The sequence below is a fragment of the Homo sapiens genome, chromosome 11, assembly GCF_000001405.40.
Source record: "Homo sapiens chromosome 11, GRCh38.p14 Primary Assembly".
Classification (NCBI taxonomy): Eukaryota; Metazoa; Chordata; class Mammalia; order Primates; family Hominidae; genus Homo; species Homo sapiens.
In genome coordinates, this window is record NC_000011.10 from 46,868,849 (window position 1) to 46,896,353 (window position 27,505).

General features: G+C 48.7%; 1 protein-coding gene and 1 long non-coding RNA gene across 5 annotated transcripts in view; one reads left to right on the forward strand and one right to left on the reverse strand.

Annotated features, from left to right (window-relative positions):
* LRP4-AS1 (LRP4 antisense RNA 1) overlaps positions 1–5,568 on the forward strand; it is a 28,006-nt gene extending 22,438 nt beyond the window's left edge. Inside the window, exon 3 of the long non-coding RNA NR_038909.1 lies at positions 4,226–5,568. This is a non-coding gene — a long non-coding RNA (LRP4 antisense RNA 1). The remainder of the gene's footprint in view (positions 1–4,225) is intronic.
* Positions 1–27,505, reverse strand: part of LRP4 (LDL receptor related protein 4) — a 61,834-nt gene that overhangs the window by 12,132 nt on the left and 22,197 nt on the right. For 3 of the 4 annotated variants that reach the window (NM_002334.4, XM_017017734.2, XM_011520103.3), the window contains 24 exons: positions 27,362–27,487; positions 27,036–27,170; positions 26,318–26,443; positions 25,741–25,971; positions 24,125–24,281; positions 21,429–21,646; positions 21,096–21,272; positions 20,563–20,685; positions 17,477–17,685; positions 17,243–17,324; positions 15,023–15,128; positions 12,854–13,055; positions 10,278–10,467; positions 10,059–10,190; positions 8,351–8,491; positions 7,896–7,982; positions 7,618–7,789; positions 6,956–7,118; positions 6,608–6,833; positions 5,952–6,255; positions 4,527–4,745; positions 4,252–4,386; positions 2,677–2,785; positions 140–284 (listed from right to left, as the gene is read on the reverse strand). In NM_002334.4, the coding sequence (NP_002325.2) occupies positions 140–284; positions 2,677–2,785; positions 4,252–4,386; positions 4,527–4,745; positions 5,952–6,255; positions 6,608–6,833; positions 6,956–7,118; positions 7,618–7,789; positions 7,896–7,982; positions 8,351–8,491; positions 10,059–10,190; positions 10,278–10,467; positions 12,854–13,055; positions 15,023–15,128; positions 17,243–17,324; positions 17,477–17,685; positions 20,563–20,685; positions 21,096–21,272; positions 21,429–21,646; positions 24,125–24,281; positions 25,741–25,971; positions 26,318–26,443; positions 27,036–27,170; positions 27,362–27,487 (3,915 nt within the window). Of the gene's footprint in view, positions 1–139; positions 285–2,676; positions 2,786–4,251; positions 4,387–4,526; positions 4,746–5,951; positions 6,256–6,607; positions 6,834–6,955; positions 7,119–7,617; positions 7,790–7,895; positions 7,983–8,350; positions 8,492–10,058; positions 10,191–10,277; positions 10,468–12,853; positions 13,056–15,022; positions 15,129–17,242; positions 17,325–17,476; positions 17,686–17,757; positions 19,726–20,562; positions 20,686–21,095; positions 21,273–21,428; positions 21,647–24,124; positions 24,282–25,740; positions 25,972–26,317; positions 26,444–27,035; positions 27,171–27,361; positions 27,488–27,505 lie in introns of those variants that run through there. The other variant, XM_011520104.3, reaches the window with a different exon arrangement.

Sequence of the window (27,505 nt, forward strand, 5' to 3'; positions counted from 1 at the left end):
AGTAAAAAGTTCTAAGCGTTTAAAATGTGAACCAAGAAGCTCTCTTGTGGCCCTAACTGTCTTGGTCCCTAACAGTCCTTGGGTTGACCGACCAATCCCACAGATGTTAAGGAAGCAGGCTCAGTACCCGGGAGCCCACCTGTCTGCCGCTGAGGGGAAACCACGATGATATCCATGAGTCCTTCCACATTTGCCAGCACTGTCTCCTTGTTCCGGCCTGAGTATTTGTCAACACGCTGGATTGACTTGGTCTGCCAGTCTGTCCAGTAGATCCACCTGTCTTGCTACTCAACAGGGGAAGCCCAAAAACAGTAAATATTATTCAGCAAGCAGACTCCTTCCTGTACAGCTTCTGTGCCTCACCATGTGCCACTGCCTCTGCTGAAATGCCCTCTTCATCTCTTCCTCATTTCTGTGCATCAACAGACATGACATTGTCAAGGAAATCTCCCCAAATCCATATAGACTTCACCATTCTCTCCTCTATACAGTTCTGCACCTTATAGTCACTTGCCCAAGTACATTTTTACACTCAAGCAATTTGTTTACTGGTCTGTCCATCCTACCAGTTTAGTTCTTCAAGGACAAGAATGTGTTCTATTCATCTCTGAATTCTAGCACCTAACACTCAGTCCCCATTTAGTTGATTGAATGACTCCCTCTCTAGCAAATAGGAGGAAATTTGAAGGTTCTTATAGGTTCCTGTTCCTCTGGGCCCTTTGCTCAGAGCACTGCCCCAAATCCTCTCTTTACTTCTGTAGGCAGCTTTCTTCTAAAGCAATGATGGTGAAATTCTCAATCAAGGGGAGGGAGGGGCAATGAAGGTGTTCTCATCCTCATCCAAGGGTATATATCAGAAACTGTGGGGAAACCTGTAGACTGAAAAACCTATATGCAGTAGTACCCTGTAGTTTTACATTTAGAATATGAAAAAAAAAGACTATCATTAAGTAAAACCAGATAAAATCTTTTTGGCTAGGCCAGGTGCGGTGGCTCATGCCTGTAATCCCAGCACTTTGGGAGGCCAAGGTGGGCGATCATGAGGTCAGGAGTTCGAAACCAGCCTGACCAACATGGTGAAACCCTGTCTCTACTAAAAATACAAAAATTAGCTGGGTATGGTGGCACGCACCTGTAATCCCAGCTACTCAGGAGGCTGAGGCAGGAGAGTCACTTGAACCCAGGAGGTGGGGGTTGTAGTGAGCCAAGATCGCACCACTGCACTCCAGCCTGGGTGACAGAGCGAGACTCCATCTCAAAAAAAAAAAAAATTCACCAGGTGTGGTGGCACATGCCTGTAATCCCACCTACTCGGGAGGCTGAGGCAGGAGAATTGCTTGAATCTAGGAAGCGGAGGTTGCAGTGAGCTGAGATCACACCACCGCACTCCAGCCTGGGCGACACAGCAAGACTCCATCTTAAAAACAACAACAACAACAAAACAAACAAAAAAAATGCTTTTTGGCTAGTGGGACATAATATAGAATACAGACAGAGTTGACAATATTTGGCAAAAAAGGGTCAAATTTATTTCTCTTTCTTTTCTTTCCTTTCTTCTTTCCTTTCTGTCTCTCTTTCTCTGACTCTCCTCTCTGAGATAGCATCTTGCTCTGTTGCCCAAGTTGGAGCACAGTGGTACAAATGTAGCTCACTGCAGCTCGACCTCCTGGGCTCAAGCGATCCTCCTGCCTCAGCCTCCTGAGTAGCTGAGACTACAGGTGTGTACCAGCACACCTGGCTAATTTAACAAAAAATTTTATAGAGATAGGGTCTCGCCATGTTGCCCAGTCTGGTCTCAAACTCTTGGGCTCAAGTGATACTCTGGCCTCAGCCAGAGTGCTGTGATTACAGGCATAAGCCACTACACCTGGCCAAGATTTTTAAATGATCGAGAATTCCTGTTGGCCTCAGGCTTGGTAGATCTTCTTTTCCTGGCCCAAATTATTTTTTGTGTTAGAACTCAAAAGTGACAGCTAATAATAATTAAAATGGGTAGCGATAACATGTATGTGGTGCTTACTGTGTGCCAGGTACTATGCTAATGCTTTGTGTCTATTTCAGGAGGATACTATTATTAGGCTGATTTATTTTATAGATAACTGAAGCTGAGAGAGGTTCAGTCACTCTAGTTCAAAGTTACACAGTTATTTAATAATACAGATAGAACTTGAATCCAGGTACCTGGCAAATTGATGGTACTCATTAAATACTTACAAACTGGCTAGATGCCTCAAAACTCTGGCTTTTAGCCACTCCACCCTGTTGCCACTAAGTGAGCTCCCTATGCCCAGATGCTGGGACCGCAGCATTAGGATTAACTGGGGAACTTGTCAAAATGTATTTTACTGTGCCCAGCCCTCATGAAGCAGCTTCTCTATAATCTCTATAGTCAGGGCCTAGGAACCTGCATTTTAACAAGCACCATATCGGATTCTGTATACCACTCTTTGAGAGCCACTCCTTTGAATGCTAGAACATGGGAATGGCAGGATAAGAGTAGCAAGGCACTCGGTGGCCCTACCAACCTACCAAGGCTTCAGGGCACAGGAAAAATCCCTAAAATGAGCTGCAATAGCACGTCTGTTCAGTAGCAGCTATAGCTGAGACTGCTGACTTAGAACCCCAAAGAAACATCCCAGTCAAGGAGGTTTAGTTACCTCTCTCCTGAGCCAGTACCTGTGTGAGGGCAAAGGGGTGGGACACATGGCTGACCAAGACCTGCCGCAGTTTCCCATTGAGGTCAGCACTCTCGATCCGGTCCAGATGCGCATCCACCCAGTAGATCCTGCGAAGAAAATGAAAAGAGTGGCTGCTCCAAACGCTTGCCAGGGAGCCCAGCTCTTCCCCCTATGAACCTGTTTGTCCCCTCCTGAGCTGACTGGCAGATGCTATGAGAACTCAAGAAGCACCCTCGATGAGGGGTCATTGTGAGTCCCAAAGCTGAAGAAGGGAGCTGGTGGTTCATGAGTGGGGAGGTCAGGGCTGCTCTGGGGAGGCATAGAAAGTCTAGTGACCTCAGAGGAACCACCACCCAGCCTCATCTTCAGGAATTTGATTGCCCTTTGACTCCTACCCAATAATCAAAGCCCAATTTCTTACAAATGGTCTTTAAGAAGAGAGCTCACTCGGCCGGGCATGGTGGCTCACGCTTGTAATCCCAGCACTTTGGGAGGCCGAGGCGGGGGATCACTTGAGGTCAGGAGTTCGAGATCAGCCTGGCCAACATGGTGAAACCCCGTCTCTGCTAAAATACAAAAATTAGCCAGGCGTGGTGACACGTGCCTGTAATCCTAGCTACTTGGGAGGCTGCGGCACGAGAATGGCTTAAACCCAGGAGGCGGAGGTTGCAGTGAGCCGAGATCGTGCGACTGCACTCCAGCCTGGGCAAAAGAGTTAGACTCTGTCTCAACAACAACAACAAAAAAGGAAGTGAGCCCAGTCTACATGGACCTTGCTGAGGTTAAAAGAAGAAGGCATTCTACCACCTTTCCAGAAGTCTTGGATTCCCTTCCCCTTCTTTTGGATCAGAAGGGGGCACAGACTGCTTTAGAGCCCCTTCCCCCTGCCCTTAGCATTTCTTATCTAGACAAGGAGTTGTACATTCCGGAGCCTGGGTCGGGCGTGGTGGCTCATGCCTGAAATCCCAGCACTTTGGGAAGCCAAGGCAGTAGGATTGCTTGAGTCCAGGAGTTCGAGACCAGCCTGGGCAACATAGCGAGATGCTGTCTCTACAAAAAATTTAGAAATTAGCTGGGCATGGTGGCATGTGCCTATAGTCCCTGCTACTTGAGAGGCTGAGGTAAGAAGATGGCTTGAGCCAGGGAGGTTCAGGCTGCAGAGAGCTGTGACTGCGCCACTGCACTCCAGCCTGGGCAACAGAGCAAGATGCTGTCTCAACAACAACAAAGTTCCAGAGCCTGAAGGGATCAGGATTTGTTATATTATAACAAATATAAGAATCAGCCCTTAAATGAGTAGGGGTGTGAGACCTGTGGTCCAGCCAGAAGACATGCTCTGCCAAAGGCACTCAAATTAGGAACATGTAAACCAGCCAAACAAAACCCACATAAGGGTTGAGGGCTGGATTTAGCAATCGCTGCTCTAAGAATATATTCCCTTATCCTTCTCAATGATTCCTCTTCCCCACATACCAAGAAGCTTTCTATCTTTTCATTTTTCCAAGGTTAATCTCAACCATTCTCTCTTCTGCCCACCCGATTTCCAGGAGGCTGTTTGATGCAAGACTCCCACCTGCGGGTATCATAGTCCAGGGTAAGGCCATTGGGCCAACCCAGGTCTGTGTTGATGAGGACCTTCCGCTCAGAACCATCCAAGTTTGCCCGTTCGATCTTGGCAATGTGGCCCCAGTCTGTCCAGAAGAGGTACCTGAGACACAACAGTGCCATCATCATCAAGGCATGGGAAGACAGCACCCAGAGGTTGAGAGAACACAGAGGACCCACTAACACCATCTTTCCACCCAGCCCTTCTTCCCTGGATCTCTCTTCTGCTGGCCATAAACTTACCCCTTCCTGGGGAAAACAGCAATGGCCCGGGGCTCATCCAGGCTATTGTTGATCAGTACTTTGCGGCAGGAACCATCCAGCCTGGACGCCTCAATGGTATTTCGACCTGTGTCTGTCCAGTACAGGTTCCTGGCCACCCAGTCCACTGCCAGCCCGTCAGTGGTCTTCAGCCCTCGCCCGATCACTGTCTCCATGTTGCTGCCGTTCAGGTCTGCTCGCCTTGGGGAGAGCCCAGTGTTGGATGAGCAACCAGACTGACCCAGAATAGAGTAGAACTTTAACCCATGTTCCCATAACTGGACCCCACTGAACTGTAAGCTCCACAGGGATAGAGACCAGGTATCTATGAGTACATTCCTCAGCACCCAGCATGATAGATGTTCAATAAAATAATTGCAGAATGAAGGAACCAGTTCTTAGGAGGACACAGTATTTCCTGCTAACTGGACATAGTGGCGGTTGCCAGGGGATGTCTTGCTAGAAGACAAGTTTATCATTCCCCACATACCTTTGGGAAGAGACAAGGATTGCTAGGTGGTGATGATAAGAAACGCAGATTTGTCAAAACCAACCTGTGCATTTTTTAAAAGTTAAAAACAATTTTAAATACAAGTAGATATGAGGTTTCATTATGTTGCCTAGGCTGGTCTTGAACTCCTGGGCTCAAGCAATCTTCCCGCCTTGGCCTCCCAAAGTGCTGGGATTATAGGCGCGAGCTACCACGCCAGACCCTAATTGTGCACTTTTGCAAAGGCCCTATGGGCAGGAGGGAACTCTACCTCAGAATGGGGAGCATGTCACTGTCACCTAGGGGACTTCCCTAAACTGTATATGCCTACCTGTCCCCAGTTTGAGATTCTAATACATCCCTTGGGGAGAGCAAAGGGGAATGTTCCCTGTTCCTCCATGTGAGAATATCTGCCATGGTAAACCACTCTTACTGGTGGCAGGACATCATATTCCTAAGCTGTGTTAGGGCCACAAATTTAAAGACTAAAAATAAAACAACGAAAAAATAAAAAACAACAGCTTTGTAAACCACCATAAGACTTGGCATTTGATTGGGGCTCCTTTACTGCAATACAGATACTGGTTATATGGCCTACTCATCAGTAAGTCCTAGGGGATTCTTGGAGCTCCCTCAGGGCACAATGGTAGATGTGAAAGTCTCCAGGTCCCCTGACTTTACCTGTTTTTTTTGTTGTTGTTGTTTGTTTTACATACTAGGCTTCCATATAATCTCTAAACAAATGAAAGTTTGAAACTCTGCTGTAAGTGACAACACTACAAAGTGAACAAGTCAGGATTAAAACTCACTATCCAAAGTGCCAAATCACTCATCCATTTAGTGGTCAGAACACAACCTCACCCATGGGCGACCAGAAGCAAATCTGTGTCTTCTGGAGGTTTCAGTGTTGCTCATACCTGATAACATCCAGGAACACATCTGTGTAATAGACCTTTCCATCCACGCTGTCATAGTCCAGGGAGATGACATTGTTGAGCTCAGGAACAGGGACATGCACATCGGTGTGGTCACTGGTGTCCAGTGAGATACGCCGGATGGAGCCACGGCTGGAGAAGAGCAGGTAGGTCTCAGGAGAGGGATCACAGGTCTTCCCATCTCCCTTCAGCTGGATGCCAGTGGGGCAGGCACAGGAGAAGCCAGAAGGCCGAGGCAAGCAGAGGTGGGAGCAGCCGCCATTTCTCGAGCCGCACTTGTTAAAACCTGGTGATGAGAAGCACAAGTATTCACACCTAGCCTGGAACATCATCTGAATCTTACAAAGGTCCCAGTTGTTTGTGGCTGGCTCTTTGCTGTTCTAAGTGACAGGATTCAGTGCCTGGCAGGGTGAGGTAGAAGGAGGGTCTGCAGGAGGATCTCCAGGAGTCCTTTGAAGGTGACAGCTGTAGTACCAGCCATACCCAGAGAGAACACAGCCCAATCTGGAAGGGAGCTTAAACAGGTCACCGTCTTTCTGGCTGTAAAGGAGCTCTGTGCTCTGGATATATCTCTGATGTTGAGATGGCCCCAGAAAGCCAGAGGCTCTGACTCACAGCCCCAGCCCTCTGACTCTCACCTAGTGGCTGTGCCCGGTCCACAGCCTGCATGTCCATGAGGCCTGGCAGGTTGGACCTCACGAGGATGACATTGCTGCCAGTACCCTTGTCAGCACGGTGGATGCTCCGAGTCTGCCAGTCAGTCCAGTAGATATAGGAGTCGAGCAGGGTGAGGCCATATGGGTGCTGCACCGGTGACACCAATGTATGCCGATTGGCACCATTCAGGTCAGCAGCCTCAATTCGCTGCAGAGGAAGGAGAGGGTGGGGGGTGGTGATCAGCAGATTGGGAACTCTCCATGGAGATCCTAGGCAGGCCTTTCCCATCTTCCCAGGCTCCTGGGAAGCAGCAGGGACACGGCTCTCACCTCGGTGTGGGCATCGGCCCATAGCAGTTGGGAGCTGGCCTTGTCCACAGTCAGTCCATTGGGCCATCCTAGGTTGTTGTTGATGAGCACCGCGCGGTCTGAGCCATCCATTCCGGACCGCTCTAACTTGGCATTCTCCCCCCAGTCTGTCCAGTACATAAACCTGAGTGAGGAAGAATATTAGCTATATTAGCTAGTTATTCCAGCAGCTACCACATACCATGAATACTTAACAGTATGTCAGATACACTTGAGTACTTACAGTATGTCAGGCAAAATTTTTGCTTGACAAAGTACTTTGCAAAATACTTCATGTGCATTATCTCAACCTTCATAAGGGCCACAAGGTATGTATTTTCACTACCACCTCCATTTAATAGGTAAGGAAGCTGAGAATTAGAGAGGTTAAATACCGGACCCAAGTGATATAGCTAATACATGATGAAAACATTTCAATCCTGGTATTCTGATTCAAGGCTCATGCTTTTAACTTCTACACTGTACTGTCACCCTGCGAGAAGTCACAAGAGAGTGGAAGAGCCCCAGGGAGGTCACCTTGTTTCTGTGATGCAAGCTTCCTCTCCACTACCCACCTTTACCCCGTCATAACCCCAGCTGAGCTGGCCCCCCACACTACCCAGTGCGATACAGCCAGCTCTCACCCCATCTCATGGTACAGTACGATGGCCCGGGGACTGTCAAGGTTCTGCCACACCAACACTTTCCGCATGGACCCGTCCAGGTTGCCCACTTCAATCCGGTTTGTTCCCGTGTCTGTCCAGTATACTTTCCGGCCAATGGCATCAACCGCGAGCCCATCTGTGGTCTGTAGCCCTGTGGGAAGTCAAAAGAGCACACTGGCTCCTATTTTAAAACAGATGGGCTATTTCCCCAGCCCTGTTGCCAGACAGGTGGTCCCTGGGCTAGGAGGAAGGCCCACCTGTGGTGATGATGTCCTCATGCTGTGAGCCATCCAGATTGGCACGACTGATCCTGTGCAGTGTGCTGTCAGACCAGTACACCTTTCCTGGAGAGGGAAAGCTTGGCTCAACCTAGACCCTCACCGCCTACAATGGGACACACACAGCTGATTCATGTCTTGAAACACCAGAGCATGTCAGAGAGCTCTGGAGCCTCTAGCAGAGGAAATCAAGGAAAACGCAGAAATATCATAGCAGGATAGCTCTTGGCAGAGACGGAGAGAAGAGGGCCCCAAACCATGCTCTCACAACCAAAGAGAGAGTGCTAGAGAGACAGGGACAGGGGCTATGCCAGAGGGAATGGGGAACAAACACCCTGGCTCTTGGCAGGAGACAAAGGTGGTGGGAGAGGAAAGACAGTAATTGTTGAAGGGCAGGGACAGAAGGCCAGGTGGGAAGAGAGGGCCATACAGACCTTCCTGGGGGTCTACTCCAATGGCAATGGTGTTCTTCATGGTAATGTTGATTGGTACCACCACATCAGCAAAATAAGGGATGTCCAGGGAGACCATGCGAATGTCTATCCTCCTGGCGAAGATGAGGAAACTGTTCATGCCTGCCAGGTGGAGAGGAGGGAAGAGGATCACTCGAGCACAGCCATTAAATGGATTTGGAATCAGGCAAACTGAAACTCATGCCCTGTCCCTGCTAGTTTCTAGCTATGTTATTCTAGGCAAGTTATTTAAATTATTATTATTTTTTGAGACAGGGTCTTGCTGTGTCGCCCAGGCTGGAGTGCACTGGCATGATCATGGCTTACTGCAGCCTTGACCTCCTGAGCTCAAGCGATCCTCCCACCTCAGCCCCCTGAGTAGCTGGGACTACAGGCACACACCACCATGCCCAGCTAATTTTTGTATTTTTTTGTAGAGATGGGGTTTCGTCATATTGCCCAGGCTGGTCTGAAACTCCTGGGCTCAAGCCTCTGCCCACCTCAGCCTCCTAAAGTGCTGGGATTACAGGCATGAGCCACTACTCTCAGCTTAAATTATTAGGCCTCAGTTTTCTTATCTATAAAATGGGGACAATAATGGGGTGGCTGTAAGGGTTAAAAGATCATGTACATAAAGCACTTACCATTAGGTCTCACACATATTCATAAATAATGCCTCTTTATTAATATTATGAAAGTGGCTCTCTTTGAAGGACCCTTTACCATGAAGATTAAGAAAGAGAAAAAAAGAAAGGGAATAAAGGGACCCCAGGGGGCTTTACTCACAACCTGAGAGGCACAGTTCACAGCTCCTTTCTCACTCAAATTCCCAGGGAGGTTAGAGTTCAAATGCAGCCTACCCTGCAGCATCTCCTAGGGAGAAGCCTTGACTTCCGACATCTGGGTAGCCAGGTACTGCTTCTGGGACCCTCCAATAAGGTTGTCACATAGGTTGTGCACTCACAAAAGTGGCACATCTAAGGAGGAGGGTACTGTGACATTGTAGATATCATACATTTCTGTTTTTATTATACCAATTTTGGGCAGTTAGAAGTGTCTTTTTTTTTTTTTTTTTTTTTTTGAGACAGAGTCTCACTCTGTCACCCAGGCTGGAGTGCAGTGGCGTGATCTCTGCTCACTGCAACCTTCACCTCCCAGGTTCAAGCAATTCTTCTGCCTTAGCCTCCCAAGTAGCTGGGATTACGCGCCACCATGCCTGGCTAATTTTTGTATTTTCAGTAGAGACGAGGTTTCACCATGTTGGCCAGGTTGGTCTTGAACTCCTGACCTCTAGTGATTTGCCTGCCTTGGCCTCCCAAAGTGCTAGGATTACAGGCATGAGCCACCGTGCCCAGCCAGAAGTGTCTTATTCCAACCAAATCAGTATATTATGACAATGTACTAAGAGATGAGAGGAAAGTGTCTTGAGAAAGGAGCATCTTTATCTAATATGCATGAAGACATCATAAGAACTAGTTGGACCCTGCCTCCAGTCCTTTCTACTTGCTCCCCAGGGCCTCTCCCCAGGCCCGTCCCCTTTTCTAAAAGCCGTGAGTCTCTCCCCTGGGCCTCTAGAAGCAGCAGGACTCATGGTTTCTCAGACCACATTGGAGCCCATCTGCAAGGAAGGAAGAGAGCCATTGCCCCCTCCCAGAGAGGCTGCATCTAGATCTGTGATGCTTTCACTCACCTGGTGAGCAGGTCTTGCCATCAGACAGCAGGTTGATGCCTGTGGGGCAGGTACAGCTGAATCCGCTTGGATTTGGGGACCTAAGACACAGGTGGCTACAGCCGCCATTCTCCATAGCACATGGTGTAGACACTGGGTAGAGAGGAGGGGATGTTCAATGGGGAGAGCTAGGGCATAGGAGGGCCACGGAGAAGCCAATGCGAGCCAAGGGCTGCTCACCTGGGGGCCGGCGGCGGTGGAAGACATGGATGTCCATTAGGTTTTCCAGGTTCTCCTGCAGAGTCTCCCGGTCCAGCCCTGTCAGCCGGTCAGCGCTCTGTATGCTCTTGGTCTGCCAGTCAGTCCAATAGATGCGCTCTCCATAGAGGGTCAGCCCAAATGGGTGGGGGAGCTGGCTTCCAATCAGCACCTGCCAGGGCCCCAACACTGTGTCATCTTCAACAAAGTCTGACAGTACAGAGCAGTGGCAAAGAGCTCACTGTGGACTCAGAAAGCAGCTCTCCCACTAACACCTACTGGGTGACCTCCAGTAAGAGCTACTTATAAAATCTCTCTGAGCCTTGCTCTATCAATCTGTGACTTGATCATGCCTGGCTCTAAGGGTCGTGTGATGGTTTTATTGGAAGATGTTGGAAGTCATCTATTACTCACATCATCTCAAAGTATCTCTGGACAAATTACTTATTAAGTACAAAATTAAAAAATAGCAACTTTACAGTGGACACTACCTTAACCATACAATGGCAGTAAGTATCACAATAACGGAACAGGCCAACACCTGTGTCTACTGATGAGACACACTGAGAACTCAAGGACATGACTTCACTTAGTGTAGTATTCCTGCTGCAAATGCACACTCTGAATCCAATCACAAGGAAACATTAGATAAATCCAAGTTGAGAGACATTATAAAAAATAACTGGCCTTTACTCTTTAAAAATGCAAATGTCCACTTTGGGAGGTCCAGGTGGGCAGATCACCTGAGGTCAGGAGTTCGAGACTAGCCTGGCCAACATGGCGAAACCCTGTCTCTACTAAAAATACAAAAATTAGCTGGGCGTGGTAGCGGGTGCCTATAATCCCAGCTACTTGGGAGGCTGAGGCAGGAGAATTGCTTGAACCCGGGAGACAGAGATTGCAGTGAGCTGAGATCGCACCATTGCACGCCAGTCTGGGCGACAGAGCAAGACTCTTGTCTCAAAACAAAACAAACAAACAAAAAATGCAAATGTCAATAAAGTCACAGAAAAGCTGAGGAAATGTTCCAGATTAGAGAGTAAAGAGACTAGATTAGTTGGGCCCGGTGGCGCACAGCTCCAGCTACTCAGGAGCCTCAGATGGGAGGATCACCTGAGCCCAGGTCAGCATGGGCAACACACCAAGACTGCAGTCTCAAAAAAAAAAAAAAAAAAAGCTATGTGTGGTGGCTCATGCCTATAAACCCAACACTTTGGGAGGTCAAAGCAGGAGGATTGCTTGAGCCTAGGAGTTCAAGACTAGCCTAGACAACAAAGTGAGACCCCCATCTCTACAAAAAATAAAAAAATCAGCCGAGTGGCCTCAAACCCGTAGGCTCCTGAGTAGCTAGGGTGCAGTAGTAGGTGCCTGTGGTCCCAGCTACGTGGGAGGATCCCTTGGGCCAGGAGGTCGCAGTTACAGTGGGCCATGTTTGTGGCACTACACTCCTGCCTGGGCCACGGAGTGAGTGTCTAAAAATAAATAAATAAATAAAAATTAAAAGAGACGTAATTACTAAACACAATGGGTGATCCTGATTGGATCCTAGATTAACAAAGAAAAAAAGTGGGGTGGGAGGAGCTATAAAGGACATCACTGAGGCAATTGGTAGTGAAATTGGGCAAGGACTATGATTAGACAGTAATATTGGGCCGGGCATGGTGGCTCGTGCCTATAATCCCAACACTTTGGGAGGCTGAGGCAGAAGGATCGTTTGAGGCCAGAAGTTTGAGACTAGCCTGGGTAATACAGGAAGTCTCTACCAAAAAAAAAGAAAAAAACTAGCCAGGCGTTATGGCTCATGCGTGTAGTCTCAGCTACTCAGGATCCTAGTAGGTCGAGGGTGCAGTGACCCAATATTGTGCCACTGCACTCCAGCCTGGGTGACACAGCATGACCCTGCCTCTAAAAAACCAAAAAAAAAAAAAAAAAAAAAAAAAAAGACAGTAATATTGGATCAATGTTAGATTTCCTGATTTTGATCATTGTACTGTGGTGATGTAAGACAACATCCTTGCTTTTAGGAAATGTGCACAGGAATAGTCTGGAGTCAAGGGCAGGCTGTCTCCACTCTAATTTCAGACAGTTCCAAAAAATAATAGTGAGTGTGTACAGAAACAGAATGATAAAGCAAATGTGGCAAAATTTTATTTATTCTTTTTACCTGTTCTTGCAACTTTTCTGTAAGTTTGAAATTATACCAAAACAAAAACAAAAAGAGATGAATCACAGGCCCACAGTGCAACTGGTAATTTAACAAGCATTAGTTGTGCTGGTTAACAGGAAATTCTGTGCATTTACACCCCCAGCTCACAATCCACACAAGTCCCTAGTTTCTTTTCATCATCAACCAGCAGCCCTTTCCCACCCCTGCCCCCAAGCTCTGGACAGCACCTACAGCCTCAGAGAAACAGCACATGCCCCATGCTGGTCCCATAACCTCCAGATCCCCTTATCTCCAATCAGCTGCCAGCCAAAAAGTACTGTCCTGGAGGCTGTCAAGGCTGTGGGAAGATGTTTTAGTGCCACCCTTACCTTCCTCTTACTGCCACCCTTACCTTCCTCTTACTGCCATCCAGTCCAGCAAATTCAATTGTCTTCATGCCGGCGTCAGCCCAGTATAGACGCTGGGACCCATAATCAATAGCTAACCCATTAGGCCAGGTCAGATTAGAAGAGATAATGACTTGGCGGCCTGAGGCATCCATGCCAGCTCGTTCAATCTTGGGGCTCGCACCCCAGTCAGTCCAATACATGTACCTGGGCAAAGGCAAGGCAAGGCAGGTCTTACAAGCTAGTTAATATCCAGCAGGGACTCAGAGTACCTAGGATTTCAGGGTTTCTGCCTGAAGCAGATCCTCATCAGCCTCAGCCTCCTGCATCAGTGTCCAGCCCAGCTCTGGGCTCAGCACTATCTCTGAATGCCTTGTCTTCTATTACTATCAAAAGGTACAGAGTCTTAATAAAAGCAGAGCCCACAGCTTAAGCAAAACTCCACAAATAAAGTGTACATGGGAATAAAGAAAGAGGAGGGGTGAAAATGAATAAGAAACATTTCCTTGGCCAGGCGCCATGGTTCATGCCTATAATCTCAGCACTTTGGGAGGCTGAGAGTATCACTTGAGCCCAGAAGTTTGAGACCAGCCTGGGCAACATAGTAGGATCCCATCTCTACCAAAAAAAAAGGGCCAGATATGGTGGTGCACATCTGTGGTCCCAGCTACTTGAGAGGCTGAGATAGGAGGATCATTTGAATCCAGGAGGTCAAGGCTGCAGTGAGCCATGACTGGGCCACTGCACTCCAGCCTGGGCAACAAGTGAGACTCTGTTTCAAAAAAAAAAGAAAAAAACAAAAAGAGAAATGTTTCTTGACTGGATGGGTTAAATAAGTTAACAGAACTCTATAAAACCAGTAAGAACAACATAGGCCAGGTGCAGTGGCTCACACCTGTAATCCCAACACTTTGGGAGGCTGAAGCAGGACGATTGCTTTAGCTCAGAAGTTTGACACCAGCCTAGACAACATAGCAAGACCCCATCTCTACAAAAAAAAACTGTAAAAATTAGCTAGGCATTGTGGTCTGTGCCTGCAGTCCCAGCTACTTGGGAGGCTGAGGCAGGAGGATTGCTTGAGCCCAGGAGGTTGAGGCTGCAGTGAGCCGTGATTTGCACCACTGCACTCCATCCTGGGCCACAGAGCAAGACCCTGTCTCAAAACAAACAAACAACAACAACAAAAACAAGGTAGATCTATACACTCAACTGGAAAGACACACAAGATATAAGGGCAAGCAGAAAAAAAGTCACAAAAAGTATGCTATTTTTGTAAAACCAAAACCATCACCACCAACAACAAATGTTTACATACATTTAGAAGAAAACCTGGAAAAAAATATCCTGAACTGTTAACTTATTGCTGGAGAGTGAGATCACAGAGAATTTTTACTTTCTACAGATTTAAATTTTTTTAACAATGAGTTACTTTTGCAAGTAAACCAACAATAAAAAAAAGATAAGGAAAGAAAGAATTGAAAAGTTTCCTTGTCCACAGAGAATACAAAGTTGTCACCAGCTGTTGGGAACAAGCCCCCCAAAATTTGGCCATAAACTGGCCCCCAAAACTGGCCATAAGCAAAATCTCTGCAGCACTGTGACATGTTCATGATGGCCATAACGCCCACACTGGAAGGTTGTGGGTTTACCCGAATGAGGGCAAGGAACACCTGGCCTGCCCAGGGCAGGAAAACTGCTTAAAGGCATTTTTAAGCCATAAACAATAGCATGAGCTATCTGTGCCTTAGGACATGCTCCTGCTGCATTTAACTAGCCCAACCTATTTCTTTAATTCGGCCCACCCCTTCATTTCCCATAAGGGATACTTTTAGTTAATATCTATAGAAACAATGCTAATGACTGGCTTGCTGTTAATAAATATGTGGGTAAATCTCTGTTGGGGGCTCTCAGTTCTGAAGGCTGTGAGACCCCTGATTTCTTACTTCACACCTCTATAGTTCTGTGTGTGTATCTTTAATTCCTCTAGCACCACTGGGTTAGGGTCTCCCCGACAGAGCTGGTCTTGGCAACCAGCCTCTGGTTTCTACAGCTGCTCTTGCTTCCTTGGGCATATCCATAAGATCTGGTCACTCTTCCTAATCTTTAGACTCCTCTCTGGAGCTCAGATCTTGGGAGGGGTGGATGGAGCTCATTCCCAAGGGGCAGCCACTCACCCGCCCATGGGTTCCACCACGATGTCCCGAGGACGATCAAGGTTCTCCCAGATGAGTACTGTTCTCATGCTGCCATCTGTGTTGGCTACTTCAATCCGGTCTGTACCTATCAAGAAGGGATACAGAGATTAATTCTAGTCTTGTTCATTCACCCTCTTACCTTCCATGGCCAACACAAGAGCCTGGTATGCGCCAGCAGAGCACAGAGTAGGGGCTCAAAAGATATTTTGTGACAGATGCACAACGGAAATTTAGTGACTTGAACTGCAAGAAGAAATTCAAGGATGTGATCAGTTGGATTTCTTGAAAGAGCAAGACTTCCCAAACATAGGCAACCATAATTTAAGGCGATGATTCTCAAACTTTAGTGTGCGTAAGAATCAGGAGAGCTTGTTAAAACACAGATTTCTGAACCTAACACCCAAAGATTTTTTTTAAAATAAAAATATTCAGCCGGGCGTGGTGGCTCACGCCTGTAATCCCAGCACTTTGAGAGGCCGAGGCAAGTGGATCATGAGGTCAGGAGTTCAAGACCAGCCTGACCAACATGGTAAAACCCCGTCTCTACTAAAAATACAAAAATTGGCCGGGCGCAGTGGCTCACACCTGTAATCCCAGCAGTTTGGGAGGCCGAGGCGGGTGGATCACGAGATTAGGAGATCGAGACCATCCTGGCTAACATGGTGAAACCCCGTCTCTACTAAAAAATACAAAAAATTAGCCAGGCGTCGTGGCGGGCACCTGTAGTCCCAGCTACTTGGGAGGCTGAGGCAGGAGAATGGCGTGAACCTGGGAGGCGGAGCTTGCAGTGAGCCGAGATCGTGCCACAGCACTCCAGCCTGGGGGACAGAGTGAGACTCCGTCTCAAAAAAAAAAAAAAAAAAAAAAAAATTAGCTGGGTGTGGTAGTGCACGCCTGTAATCCCAGCTACTCGGGAGGCTGAGGCAGAAGAATCCTTTGAACCCAGGGAGGTGGAGGTTGCAGTGAGCTGAGATTGCGCCGCTGCACTCCAGCCTGGGCAGCAGAGCGAGACTCCATCTCAAAATTTAAAAAAGAAAAAAAAATTCTAGTCCATTTCATGCTCACTAACCCCCAAAGATTCTGATTCAGTAAGTCTTGACTTTTGTTTTTTGGAGACAGGCTCTTGCTCTGTTGCCTAGATTGGCATGCAGTGGTGTGATCATGGCTCACTGCAGCCTTGAACTCCCGGATTCAAGCAATCCTCCCACTTCAGCCTCCCAAGTAGCTGGGACTACAGGTATGTGCCATTACACCAGGCTAATTAAAAAAAAAAATTGGGGATGTGTGTATGCGTGTGGGGGTCTTGCTATATTTCCCAGGCTGATCTTGAACTCCTAAGCTCAAGAGATCTTGCCCTGGTCCCCCAAAGCGCTAGGATTATAGGTGTGAGCCACCATGCCCAGCCCTGATTCAGTAAGTCTAGGGTGGGGCCCAAGAATCTGCATGTCCAACAACTTCCCAGATGATGCTGATGCTGCCACGCAGAGGAGGCAAGGTTGTCATCAGCCTCTGTGGTCCAGCAACCACGCTCTGAGTAGCACTTGTTCAGGGTATCCCCTTGCCTCCCAAACCCACCTGGCTAATTAAAAATGCCTGATTTGGCTAGGCGCGGTGGCTCACACCTGTAATCCCAGCACTTTGGGAGGCTAAGGCGGGTGGATCACCAGGTCAGGAGATCAAGACCATCCTGGCCAACATGGTGAAACCCCGTCTCTACTAAAATACAAAAACTTAGCCGGGCATGGTGGTGCACGCCTGTAGTCCCAGCTACTTGGGAGGCTGAGGCAGGAGAAAACAGCATGAACCCGGGAGGCGGAGCTTGCAGTGAGCCGAGATCGCACCACTGCACTCCAGCCTGGCGACAGAGCAAGACTCCGCCTCAAAAAAAAAAAAAAAAAAAGGCTGATTTACCCAGAAAGCGATGGAAAGAAAACAAGGCATAGGTTCATGATCTGAAATGCCTTAAAACACTCCCCAGCATCAGCTACACAGCAGAAGCAGCTGCCACAATGTGAGCTTCTCACGTGGGAGCTTCTCACTTCGGCTCTGCAGCAGCCCTCCGGCTTCTGACCTACCAAGGACTTGAAGTGAAGACAGAAGTGGTCCAGGAGAGACACTGGGCTCCTTCTATCTGAGGCCAGGGTTTTAAACAAGAGGAATCCCAGGGAGCCAGGCAGGCCACGGCTCCCCTATGCATACCTGCATCTGTCCAGTACAGTTTGTTGGTGACCCAATCAATGGCCAGGCCAGCTGGGCTCTCCAAACTGGTATCCACTACCACCTGGGCAGGAAGCAAAGCTGTATCACCAACTGTACTTCCACTCTAGTTCTGGAGCCCAAACTCCACCAATTCTCAAGGTTGGCAAAGGTATGGGAAGCCCTTCCCTGGAGAGGGTGGATTCCACCCTTCAACCTCCCCACGCTGGGCCCTACCTCCTGTCCTGTTCCATCCCACTTGGCCCTGCTGATGGTATCAGTGCTGACATCTGTCCAGTACACGTGGTCATCCCGGGAGTCCCAGTCAAGGGCCACAGCACTGCGCACGTCAGCCAGTGGGATGACATCATCAGACAGGTCCTCTGTGTCAAAGCTGATTCGACGGATGTCCATCCTTCGGGCAAAAAGCAGGAACTTGTCAAGACCTGATCAAAGGCCGAAAGGGGTCTTCTTTTAATGCTCTAAATCCAAGAACAGTGACAGACACAGACGCTCACCTGCGTGACATCTGGTTCAATCACACTTCCTGGGATCTGGTGCCCTTTGCCCCCTATACTTTATACCTCAGGCTTCTTTTAAGCACTGCCATGCTAGCAGAATCAGACTTCTAAATCAAATGGAAACAGACTCTACTAAGGTCCCAGAAGTGCATGCTGTTTAAGCATCTGTCGGCTTCATCTCAACTTTTCTCTCTTCTTACTTTTCTCCACCTCTTCTGGTGTCCTGGCTTGCCCACTGCCAACCCCTGACCCCTACTTCCCTGATGTTCATGACTGTGTCAGGGCTCCTGCCCCTCCACTCCATCACCTGGATCCCTTCCTCTTGCTCTCCTCTTTACAACTTTAAGCCAGTAGCTTAAGCTGAGCACTTTCCTTGCCAGGCACTGTGCTTGGTGCTTTTTTGATCTCACACCAAGCCTCTCTCGTGTGTTATTCTTATTCCCATTTTCTAGACGAGCAACCCTGAGGCTAATAGAGATCAAGAAACTTGCCCAGGATCCCATGGCTACAAAGCACCAGAGCTAGGACTCAGATCTGACTCCAGAGAAAGAGCTCTGGCCACTCCTCTACGTAGTTTACTTCCAGCCAGCTCTTCCCCATCCTCTGCCTTTCCTCTGGTCAGTCTGAATACTTTCTCAGTAGACTTTTCTATCCAGAAAGGCACTTCCTGACTAATGTTGCCAAATGTCTTCTTCCTAGGGCTGGGAAATCCTTAAGGGGAAGCTGTCAGGGGACAGGGGGCTTTACTTCTTGCATCTCACTAAGACAACAGGGGAAGCGCTGGACACAAAAGAATGCAAGAGGAAAGGGCCAGGCATGGTGGCTCATGCCTGTAATCCCAGCACTTTGAGGGGCTGAGGTGGGGTCATTGCTTGGGCTCAGGAGTTTGAGACCAGCCTGAGCAACATAGTGGAACCCCGTCTCTACTAAAAATACAAAATTCACTGGGCACAGTGGCTCACGCCTGTAATCCCAGCACTTTGGGAGGCTGAGGTGGATAGATCACGAGATCAGGAGTTTGAGACCAGCCTGGCCAACATAGTGAAACCTCATCTCTACTAAAAATACAAAAATTAGCCAGGCATGGTGGCAGGTGCCTGTAATCTCAGCTACTTGGGAGCCCAAAGCAGAAGAATCGCTTGAACCAGGGAGGTGGAGGTTACAATGAGCCGAGATCATGCCGCCACACTCCAGCCTGGGTGACAGAGTGAGACTCTGTCTCAAAAACAAAACAAACAAACAAAAAACTCCACAAAATTCGCCAGGTGTGACAGTGTATGCCTGTAGTCCCAGCTACTTAGGGGGCTGGGGCGGGAGGCTTGCTTAAGCCCAGGAAGTCGAAGCTGCAGTGAGCACTGTTTACACCACTGCACTCCAGCCTAGGTGACAGAGCAAGACCCTGTCTCAAAAAAAAAAAAAAAAAAAAAAAAAAAGGCCGGGGGCGGTGGCTTATGCCTGTAATCCCAACACTTTGGAAGGCAGAGGCGGGCAGGTCATGAGGTCAGGAGTTCAAGACCAGCCTGACCAACATGGTGAAACCTCATCTCTACTAAAAATACAAAAATTAGCTGGGTGTGGTAGTGCACACTTATAATCCCCGCTACTCAGGAGGCTGAGGCAGGAGAAGCACTTGAACCCGGGAGGCGGACAAAAAAAAAAAAAATGCCAGGCACAGTGGCTCATGCCTGTAATGCCAGCACTTTGGGAGGCTGAGGTGGGTGGATCACCTGAGGTCAGGAGTTCGAGACCAGCCAGACCAACATGGAGAAACCCCGTCCCTACTAAAAATACAAAATTAGCCAGGTGTGGTGGCGCATGCTTGTAATCCCAGCTATTCAGGAAGCTAAGGCAGGAGAATAGCTTGAACCTGGGAAGTGGAGGTTGTGGTGAGCCGAGACTGTGCCATTGTACTCCAGCCTGGACAAGAGCAAAACTGTCTCAAAAAAAAAAAAAAAAAAAAAAAAAGAATGCAAGGGGAAAACTCAGAGAATGAAATTAGGTTCTTAGTTAATATGTGTATGAATGAAACTTTTGAATGTTTTCCCTAACCACACTCTCTAGAAAGGACCCAGGTCCCAGGAGAATTTTATTTTACCCAGATTTCAGAGGGTCAGTGGGGTACACAGCAGTAAACAAGAACAGCTGCTGATGTGTGAGGAATCACCCCAGGTGCCCTGCTGGTCGTGCCATATGCCCGGACCGCTCCTCTCTGGACTATTCTTAGAAAAAGTCATCGTGTGCTGGGCTCTCCAGGGTTACCCTCTCAAAACAATAACTCCTAAGGAGCCCAAAGGAAGCCAAAGTAGCAGTTCAGGGACAGACCAGGGAAGATCCCATGATCTTCCACTTGTTTAACACATATTTATCCAGGACCCGCTTACACAGAACATCATCAGAGATTCTAATTTTGGCTTCCTGGTTTAAGGGCCGAAAGAAAGTCTTCAACAGGGTGACGCTAAAGGTAAAAAGGTAGGAAATCATTCCCCTGTTTTCTAGAAGAGCATAAAACCCTCTTGCTGCCTATAGAGAAGGCAATCCTGCCTGGTAAAATGATACATGAGCCTCACTGCAGGTGTTCACACTCGACCGGGCGGTATTGCTGAGCCTTCAGCCACTAGTGCTGGGTCCTCAGTCCTCAGCTTTGATAGAAGATCCCTCAGCCTCTTAAGTTCTTCCTCTCCAGGGCTCCCTGAGGAATGTGGTTTTTCCCATGACAGGCAATCCCTCCACGTCCTATCCCTTGTTCCTTCTCCCCATCCTCACAACAGCCTCCATGGAGGCTGGTGTTGCAGACCCACTTACTCTGGGCACAGGCGTGGCTGCTGATCTTGCGGAAGCCAGTGGGGCAGGCACAGGTGTAGTTCTGGCCACTGGGCAGACACAGGTGCGTGCAGCCTCCGTTGTTGTCCCCACAGCGGTTTTTCCCTGCTCAAAGAGCCCAGGGCAAGAGGATCAGCGAAGGTCTGCAAAAGTGACCCCAAGACTAGGGAATAGGGGTTTAGGTAGGGTGATAGTTCCCTGAAGGGAGAAACTATGTCTTATATTTTTGACATCTGCCCCTGCTGCTAGCACAGTGAGTACCCGGCACAGAGGAGATGCCCTGTAAATGTCTGCCTGAATTAGATGGGAACGGTGAAGTCTAATGAATCTTTTCGTGAATCTTGTTGTACTGCCCCGAATGTCCAGCAGAGGGAGGAATTAGCCCATGTCAGTGCCCTGCTGGATTTCCCCATCAGAAGAAATGGCAACTCTAAGGGGAAGGAAGGTTCTCAGAGGCACCAGAGGCCACCTCAACCATGAGGCTACTTTGGCTCACCCGGTGGGCAGTTTTTTACCTGCAGGTTGGCGCTGGGGGTGCAAGGTGTGGATGTCCATAGGGAAGTGGAGTTTGTTGCGAATGATTTCCTGGTTCTTCCCCGTAAATTTGTTAGCGCTATTGATGCTCTTGGTGTGCCAGTCTGTCCAGTACAGGCTGTCTTCAAACACTGTGATGGCGAAGGGATGCGGGAGGCCTGGGGAAAGTCCAGGAAGACCTCAGTCTGGACGTGGTCTGCCATGTCCCCTGGGCCCAGGCCTGGCAACTACACAAAACCTCTACCAAGGCTCCTGGGGGGCAGGGACGGGGGCAGGAGGACAAGAGATGAAGGAGACTGAAGGAAGGGGCTCACCCTGGCTAATGACAGCCTTACGGTGACTCCCATCCAGATTGGCCCTCTCGATGACATGGTGCTTAGCATCCACCCAGTACATACGGCGCCCGGCATAGTCGATGGTGAGGCCATTGGGCCAGAAGAGATGGGTATCGGCAATGATGCGGCGTCCAGAGCCATCCATGCTGGAGGCCTCAATACGGGGGGTGTTGCCCCAGTCTGTCCAGTAAATGGTACTAGGAAGAGAAAAGTAAATTGGGAAGTGGGCAGCAGAAAACAGGTAGGTAACCAGGAGAATAATCAGGTAGGGCGCTTTTATCCATTTAACTCAGGGGACTCCAATGTTTGGTCCACAGAATGAATTTTTTTTTTAGACGGGGTCTCATTTTGTCACCCAGGCTGGAGGGCAGGTGAGATTACAGCTCACTGCGGCCTCAATCTCCTGGGCTCAGAAGGCCTCCCACTTCAGCCTTCTGAGCAGCTAGTATCGCTACACCTAACTAATTTTTTTTTGTAGTAGAGATGAGGTCTTGCTATGTTACCCAAGCTGGTCTCAAACTCCTGAGCTCAAGCAATCCTCCTGCTTTGTCCTTTCAAAGTACTGGGATTATAGGCATGAGTCACCATGCCCAGCCTCAGAATGCTTTTTAAGTGTCTGAGTTTAAATGTCTTTAGACAGGGCATTTATTCATTTAATAATTTTTTTTTTCATACTGGCAACAGGCAGGACATACTATCTTAGGCACTGGAAATCTAGCAGTGAACAAAACAGACAAAAGTCTCACAGAATTGACAATATAATGTAATATTAGGACAGGCACTTTCTTCTTTGTCACAATCTCTTCCACTGCCTTTTGTATTTTATTTTCTTTTATTTTTGAGACTCGCTCTGTTGCCCAGGCTGGAATGCAGTGGCACGATTTCAGCTCACTGCAACCTCCACCTCCTGGACCCAAGTGATTCTCCTGCCTCAGCCTCCCAAGTAGCTGGAATTACAGGCACCCGCCACCATGCCCAGCTAATTTTTGTATTTTTAGTAGAGATGGGGTTTCACCATGTTGGCCAGGCTGGTCTCAAACTCCTGACCCCAAGTGATCCACCTGCCTCGGCCTCCCAAAGTGCTGGGGTTACAAGCTTGAGTCACCATGCCCGGCTCCTTTTGTATTTTATACACACACACACACACACACACACACACACACACACAGACACACACACATACACACACACAGTTTCTAAAACAGTTGATACATACTGTAGGACCTTATAAGATACTCCCTCCATTGATTGCATAGAATTTTTAAAAGCCAGAGGTGAGAACTTCATTTCAGGAGTTTTTCTTTAATTCAGATTTCTGAATTTTAAATTTAATTTTTTTTGAGACAGAGTCTCACTCTGTCATCCAGGAGTGCAGTGCCATAATCATGGCTCACTGCAGCCTCGAACTCCAGGGCTCAGGTGATCCTCCTACCTCAGCCTCCTGTGTAGTTGGGACTACAGGCATGCATCAATAAGTCCAGCTAATTTTTGTACTTTTTATAGAGATGGGGTTTTGCCATGTTGCCCAAGCTGGTCTTGAACTCCTGGGCTCAAGCAATCTGCCCACCTCAGCATCCCAAAGTGCTGAGATTATAGGCATGAGCCACTGAACCTGACCAGATTTCTCAATTTTATTTATTTAACTTTTTTTGAGACAGGGTCTTACTCTGTCACCCAGGCTGGAGGTCACTGTTGCAATCACGGTTCCCTGCAACCTCGACCTCCCAGTCTCAAGCCATCCTTGCACCTCAGCCTCCCACGTAGCTGGGACTACAGGCATGTGCCACTATGCCAGGCTAATTTAGAAAACATTTTTGTAGAGATGAGGCCACACTATGTTGCCCAGGCTGATCTTGAACTCCTGGACTCAAGTGATCCTCCTTCCTTGGTCTCCAAAAGTGCTGGAATTATAGGTGTGAGCCACTGTGCCCGGCCCCTCTATTAATTTTTAGGCTATAATAATTAATTACAATTCTTATGAATTACTAATAACTATTAATTTGTATTAATTAGGTCAACCTTATGAGCTAATAATAAAAATACGAAACACCTACAACTTATCTAATGTGTGTTATATGCAATTTAAAATGCATCACCTCATTTAATCTTCATACAACTATGATGGAGGTATTTTTTTTTAATCACCAATTTAGAAATGAGTAAACAAGGCAGACAGAGATTAACTGGCCCAAGGCCACACAGCCAGTTATTACAGAGCCAGGACCTAGACTCAAGTGTGTGGGGGACAGAGCCCATGTTATTAACATCATACTTTTTTTTTTTTTTTTTTTCGAGACAGAGTCTTGCTCTTTCTCCCAGGCTGGAGTGCAGTGGCGCAATCTCAGCTCACTGTAACCTGTGCCTCCTGGGTTCAAACAACTCTCCTGCCTCAACCTCCCGAGTAGCTGGGATTACAAGCACCCGCCACCATGCCTGGCTAATTTTTGTATTTTGCAGAGATGGGGTTTCCCCATGTTGGCCAGGCTGGTCTCGAATTACTGACCTCAGGTGATCTGCCCGCCTTGGCCTCCCAAAGTGCTGGGATTACAGGCGTGAGCCACCGCGCCCAGCTACACCACACTTTGAGGATGTACTCCCAGAATGTCTAGTCCAGGTAGCCTGGGAGCTGTCCCGAGAGGTTGCAAGAAAGTTCGGGAGCCTGAGATACAACTTACCCCTCCATGGGATGCAAGGCAATGGCCCGGGGCTTCTCCAGGTTCTGCCACAGCAACACTTTCCGGTGGGCCCCATCCAGATTGGCCACCTCAATCCTCGAGGTGCCTGAGTCGGTCCAGTAGAGTTTGTCATGGACCCAATCCACAGCCAGGCCCCCTGGTGAGAAGCAGCAGCAAAAAATGTCAAGGAGTCAACCCAGGCCCCCATGTCCCATAGTAATAGGAGCAAACTCTTACAGGAAGCAATTTTTTGGGCCAGGCACTATTGTCATCACTTCAGATACATGAATTCATTTAAGCATCACAACTCTGTGAGCTAGATACTGTAATTTCCATGAGGATGAGGAAATTGAGGCACAAAAGAGTTAAGTAACTGTCCAAGGGCATGCACTTCCTCCTCACAGTCAACCATACATCACTTTCTGAATTCTGTCTCCCTGACGCATTCCCAGGGTCCCCCACTGCACTGACCCAGGGGTTTGTAAATTGTCATCTGGGGTTTTGCAGAGGCATTTCAGAAATTCCCTAGGCATTTGAGTCCAATGTGCTTGATACCAAATTAGAATTTGACCACTTCACCTATTTGTAAAATAGCCTGAGATTGACAAGTGAGCTGTTTCTGTGGTTTTTTGTTTGTTTGTTTCGAGATGGAGTCTCACTCCCATTGCGCAGGCTGGAGTGCAGTGGTGCAGTCTCGGGTCACTGCAACCTCCACCTCCTGGGTTCAAGAGTTTCTCCTTCCTCAGCCTCCCAAGTAGCTGGGATTACAGGCATTTGCCACCATGCCTGGCTAATTTTTGTATTTTTAATAGAGATGGGGTTTTGCCATGTTGGCCAGGCTGGTCTCAAACTCCTGACCTCACGTGATCCGCCTGCTTCAGCCTCCCAAAGTGCTGGGATTACAGGCGTAAGCCACCACGCTTGAACTATTTTTTTTTTTTTTTTGAGACGGAGTTTTGCCTAGGCTGAAGTACAATGGCGTGATCTCGGCTCACCGCAACCTCCACTTCCTGAGTTCAAGCAATTCTCCTGCCTCAGCCTCCCAAGTAGCTGGGATTACAGGCATGCGCCACCACGCCCGGCTAACTTTTGTATTTTTAGTAGAGATGGGGTTTCTCCATGTTGGTCAGGCTGGTCTCAAACTCCCAACCTCAGGTGATCTGCCCACCTCAGCCTCCCAAAGTGCTGGGATTACAGGCGTGAGCCACCGTGCCTGGCCTGTTTTTTTAACAATCTATAAAACATTTTGATATACTTATCCAGGTCAATCAGAATATTCTTAATACTAAGCAATCGAAACAAAACTCAGAAATAAACTAGATGCAAAGGCTGATGGAGAACTCTGTCATCCATAAATCTGATTCCCATGATCACAACCACCAACGTGGTCTCATTATTCTCACTGATTGAGCTCAATCATGAGCAAATGTTATATTTGAACCTATAAAATTGATATACATTAACAAATGTTTTCTATATTAGGGCTCCAACTAAGATTTCCCTGGAAGAAAAAGATGTCCTGCTGCCTAAGGTTTGCAAACCACTGGCCTATTCCTCCCACCGTTGCTGCGCATGTGGCATGGCTCTGCCCCTCTCCATGGGGCCTTGTTCCCTACCTGGGCTCTCCAGCCCAGTAGACACAACCTCCTCCACGTTGCTGCCGTTGAGGTTGGCACGGAGGATCCGGTCCAGGGTGACATCTGACCAGAAGACAAGCTCGCGGCGGTGGTGGAAATCAAGGGCAATGGCATTCTCCAGGTTGTTAAGCAGCAGTGTGTACTCAGAGCGGTGTGGCAGCACCTGCCGGATGTCGATGCGATTGGCGAACAGCAGCACAGGCTCTGGCCCTGGGAAACAGTATAAACATGGGATACCCACTGGGTTTCAGAGCCGCCCCTGGTACCCATCAGCAGGTCTTCAGCTGACCGATGGAGCCACTTGCTCACAAGGACATGCCCCAAGCTGTCAGCATCAGTACCAGAAGAGTGGCAACCTTTAAACTATATTCCTCCACCCCTCCCCACCCCACTCCACCCCAGCAGCATTTTTCTTGGGGCTCAGAATGCAACTGTTGCTGCATTTTACTGTGACAGAAATCTCTCTACCTCTCTGCAAATCCCTGAGCACCAGAGTACCTGGCCTTCCTCCATGCTCGGCCCTCTGCCCACCCAGCCAAGTGCCAACAGCCCTTACCCAGAGCCTTGCAGCTGCGCCGGTCGGGCCGTAGTTCATAGCCTGTTTCACACCAGCATTGGAAAGCCCCTTCGCTGTTGGTGCAGCCCTGGCTGCAATACCCCTCCTCGGCACATTCATTCACATCTGGGAACACCAGGCAGGTCAAGAGATCTCCCTTCTGTCGTCCTCCCACTCCCGCTCCCAGGCTGCCGAGCTGCTTTTCTGCCCACATCCCCATCTACTTTCCAGGCCTAGTGGGAAGGCTGTCTAAGAAATGGTTAAGGGCGGCCGGGCGTGGTGGCGCACACCTGTAGTCCCAGCTACTCAAGAGGCTGAGGCAGGAGAATGGCTTGAACCCAGGAGGCGGAGGCTGCAGTGAGCCGAGATCGCACCACTGCACTCCAGCCTGGGCGACAGAGCGAGGCTCCATCTCAAAAAAATAAAAATAAAAAATAAAAAAGAAGAAATGGTTAAGGGCTTTAAGGTCATGCAGACCTGGGCTGGAATCCCAACTCTGCTACTCGCCAGCTGTGTGGCCTTTGGTAAGCTACTTATCCTCTCTGTGCTTCAGTCTCCCCATCTGTGAAATGGGAAGGATGATCCCCACCTCCTAGGGTTATTGTGAGGACGAAATGAGGTCACACCGTTCAAATGCCTGACCCATAGGAAACACAGCTGCCTGTCTGCTGCCCCTGCTCAGAACCCCGACTCTGCTGCAAACCAGGCCCCAGCTCACCTTGGCACGTGTGCCCATCCTCTGTGAGCCGGTAGCCTGTGTGGCAGGTACACTGCACTGCCCCCCGCACCATCTGGCACTTCTGGGCACAGCCACCGTTGTTAACATTGCAGTTCTCCTCACCCGTCCGGGGCCCTGTGCCAGCCAAGCCAGAGTTGGGAGTTGAGCCCAGAATCCTCCCCCAGAGAGCCAACTTGGCATTCCACCTGGACCACAAAGAACAGCTCCCAAAGCTGCAAGAGTCCTGAGGGAGGATTCCCTTTGAACCCTATGGGTGGGGTTCGGCCACAAACCATGGGCCAGGTCCGCCCACTGGGGACACTCACGGCAATTCTGCTGTGGGCTTTCGTCGCTGTTGTCACCACAGTCGTTGACCCCGTTGCACAGCTTCCTCTGCCCAATGCAGCGCCCATTCCAACACAGGAACTGGTCCAAGGCACATTGGGGGCTTCCTAGAGAGATGGAGGGTC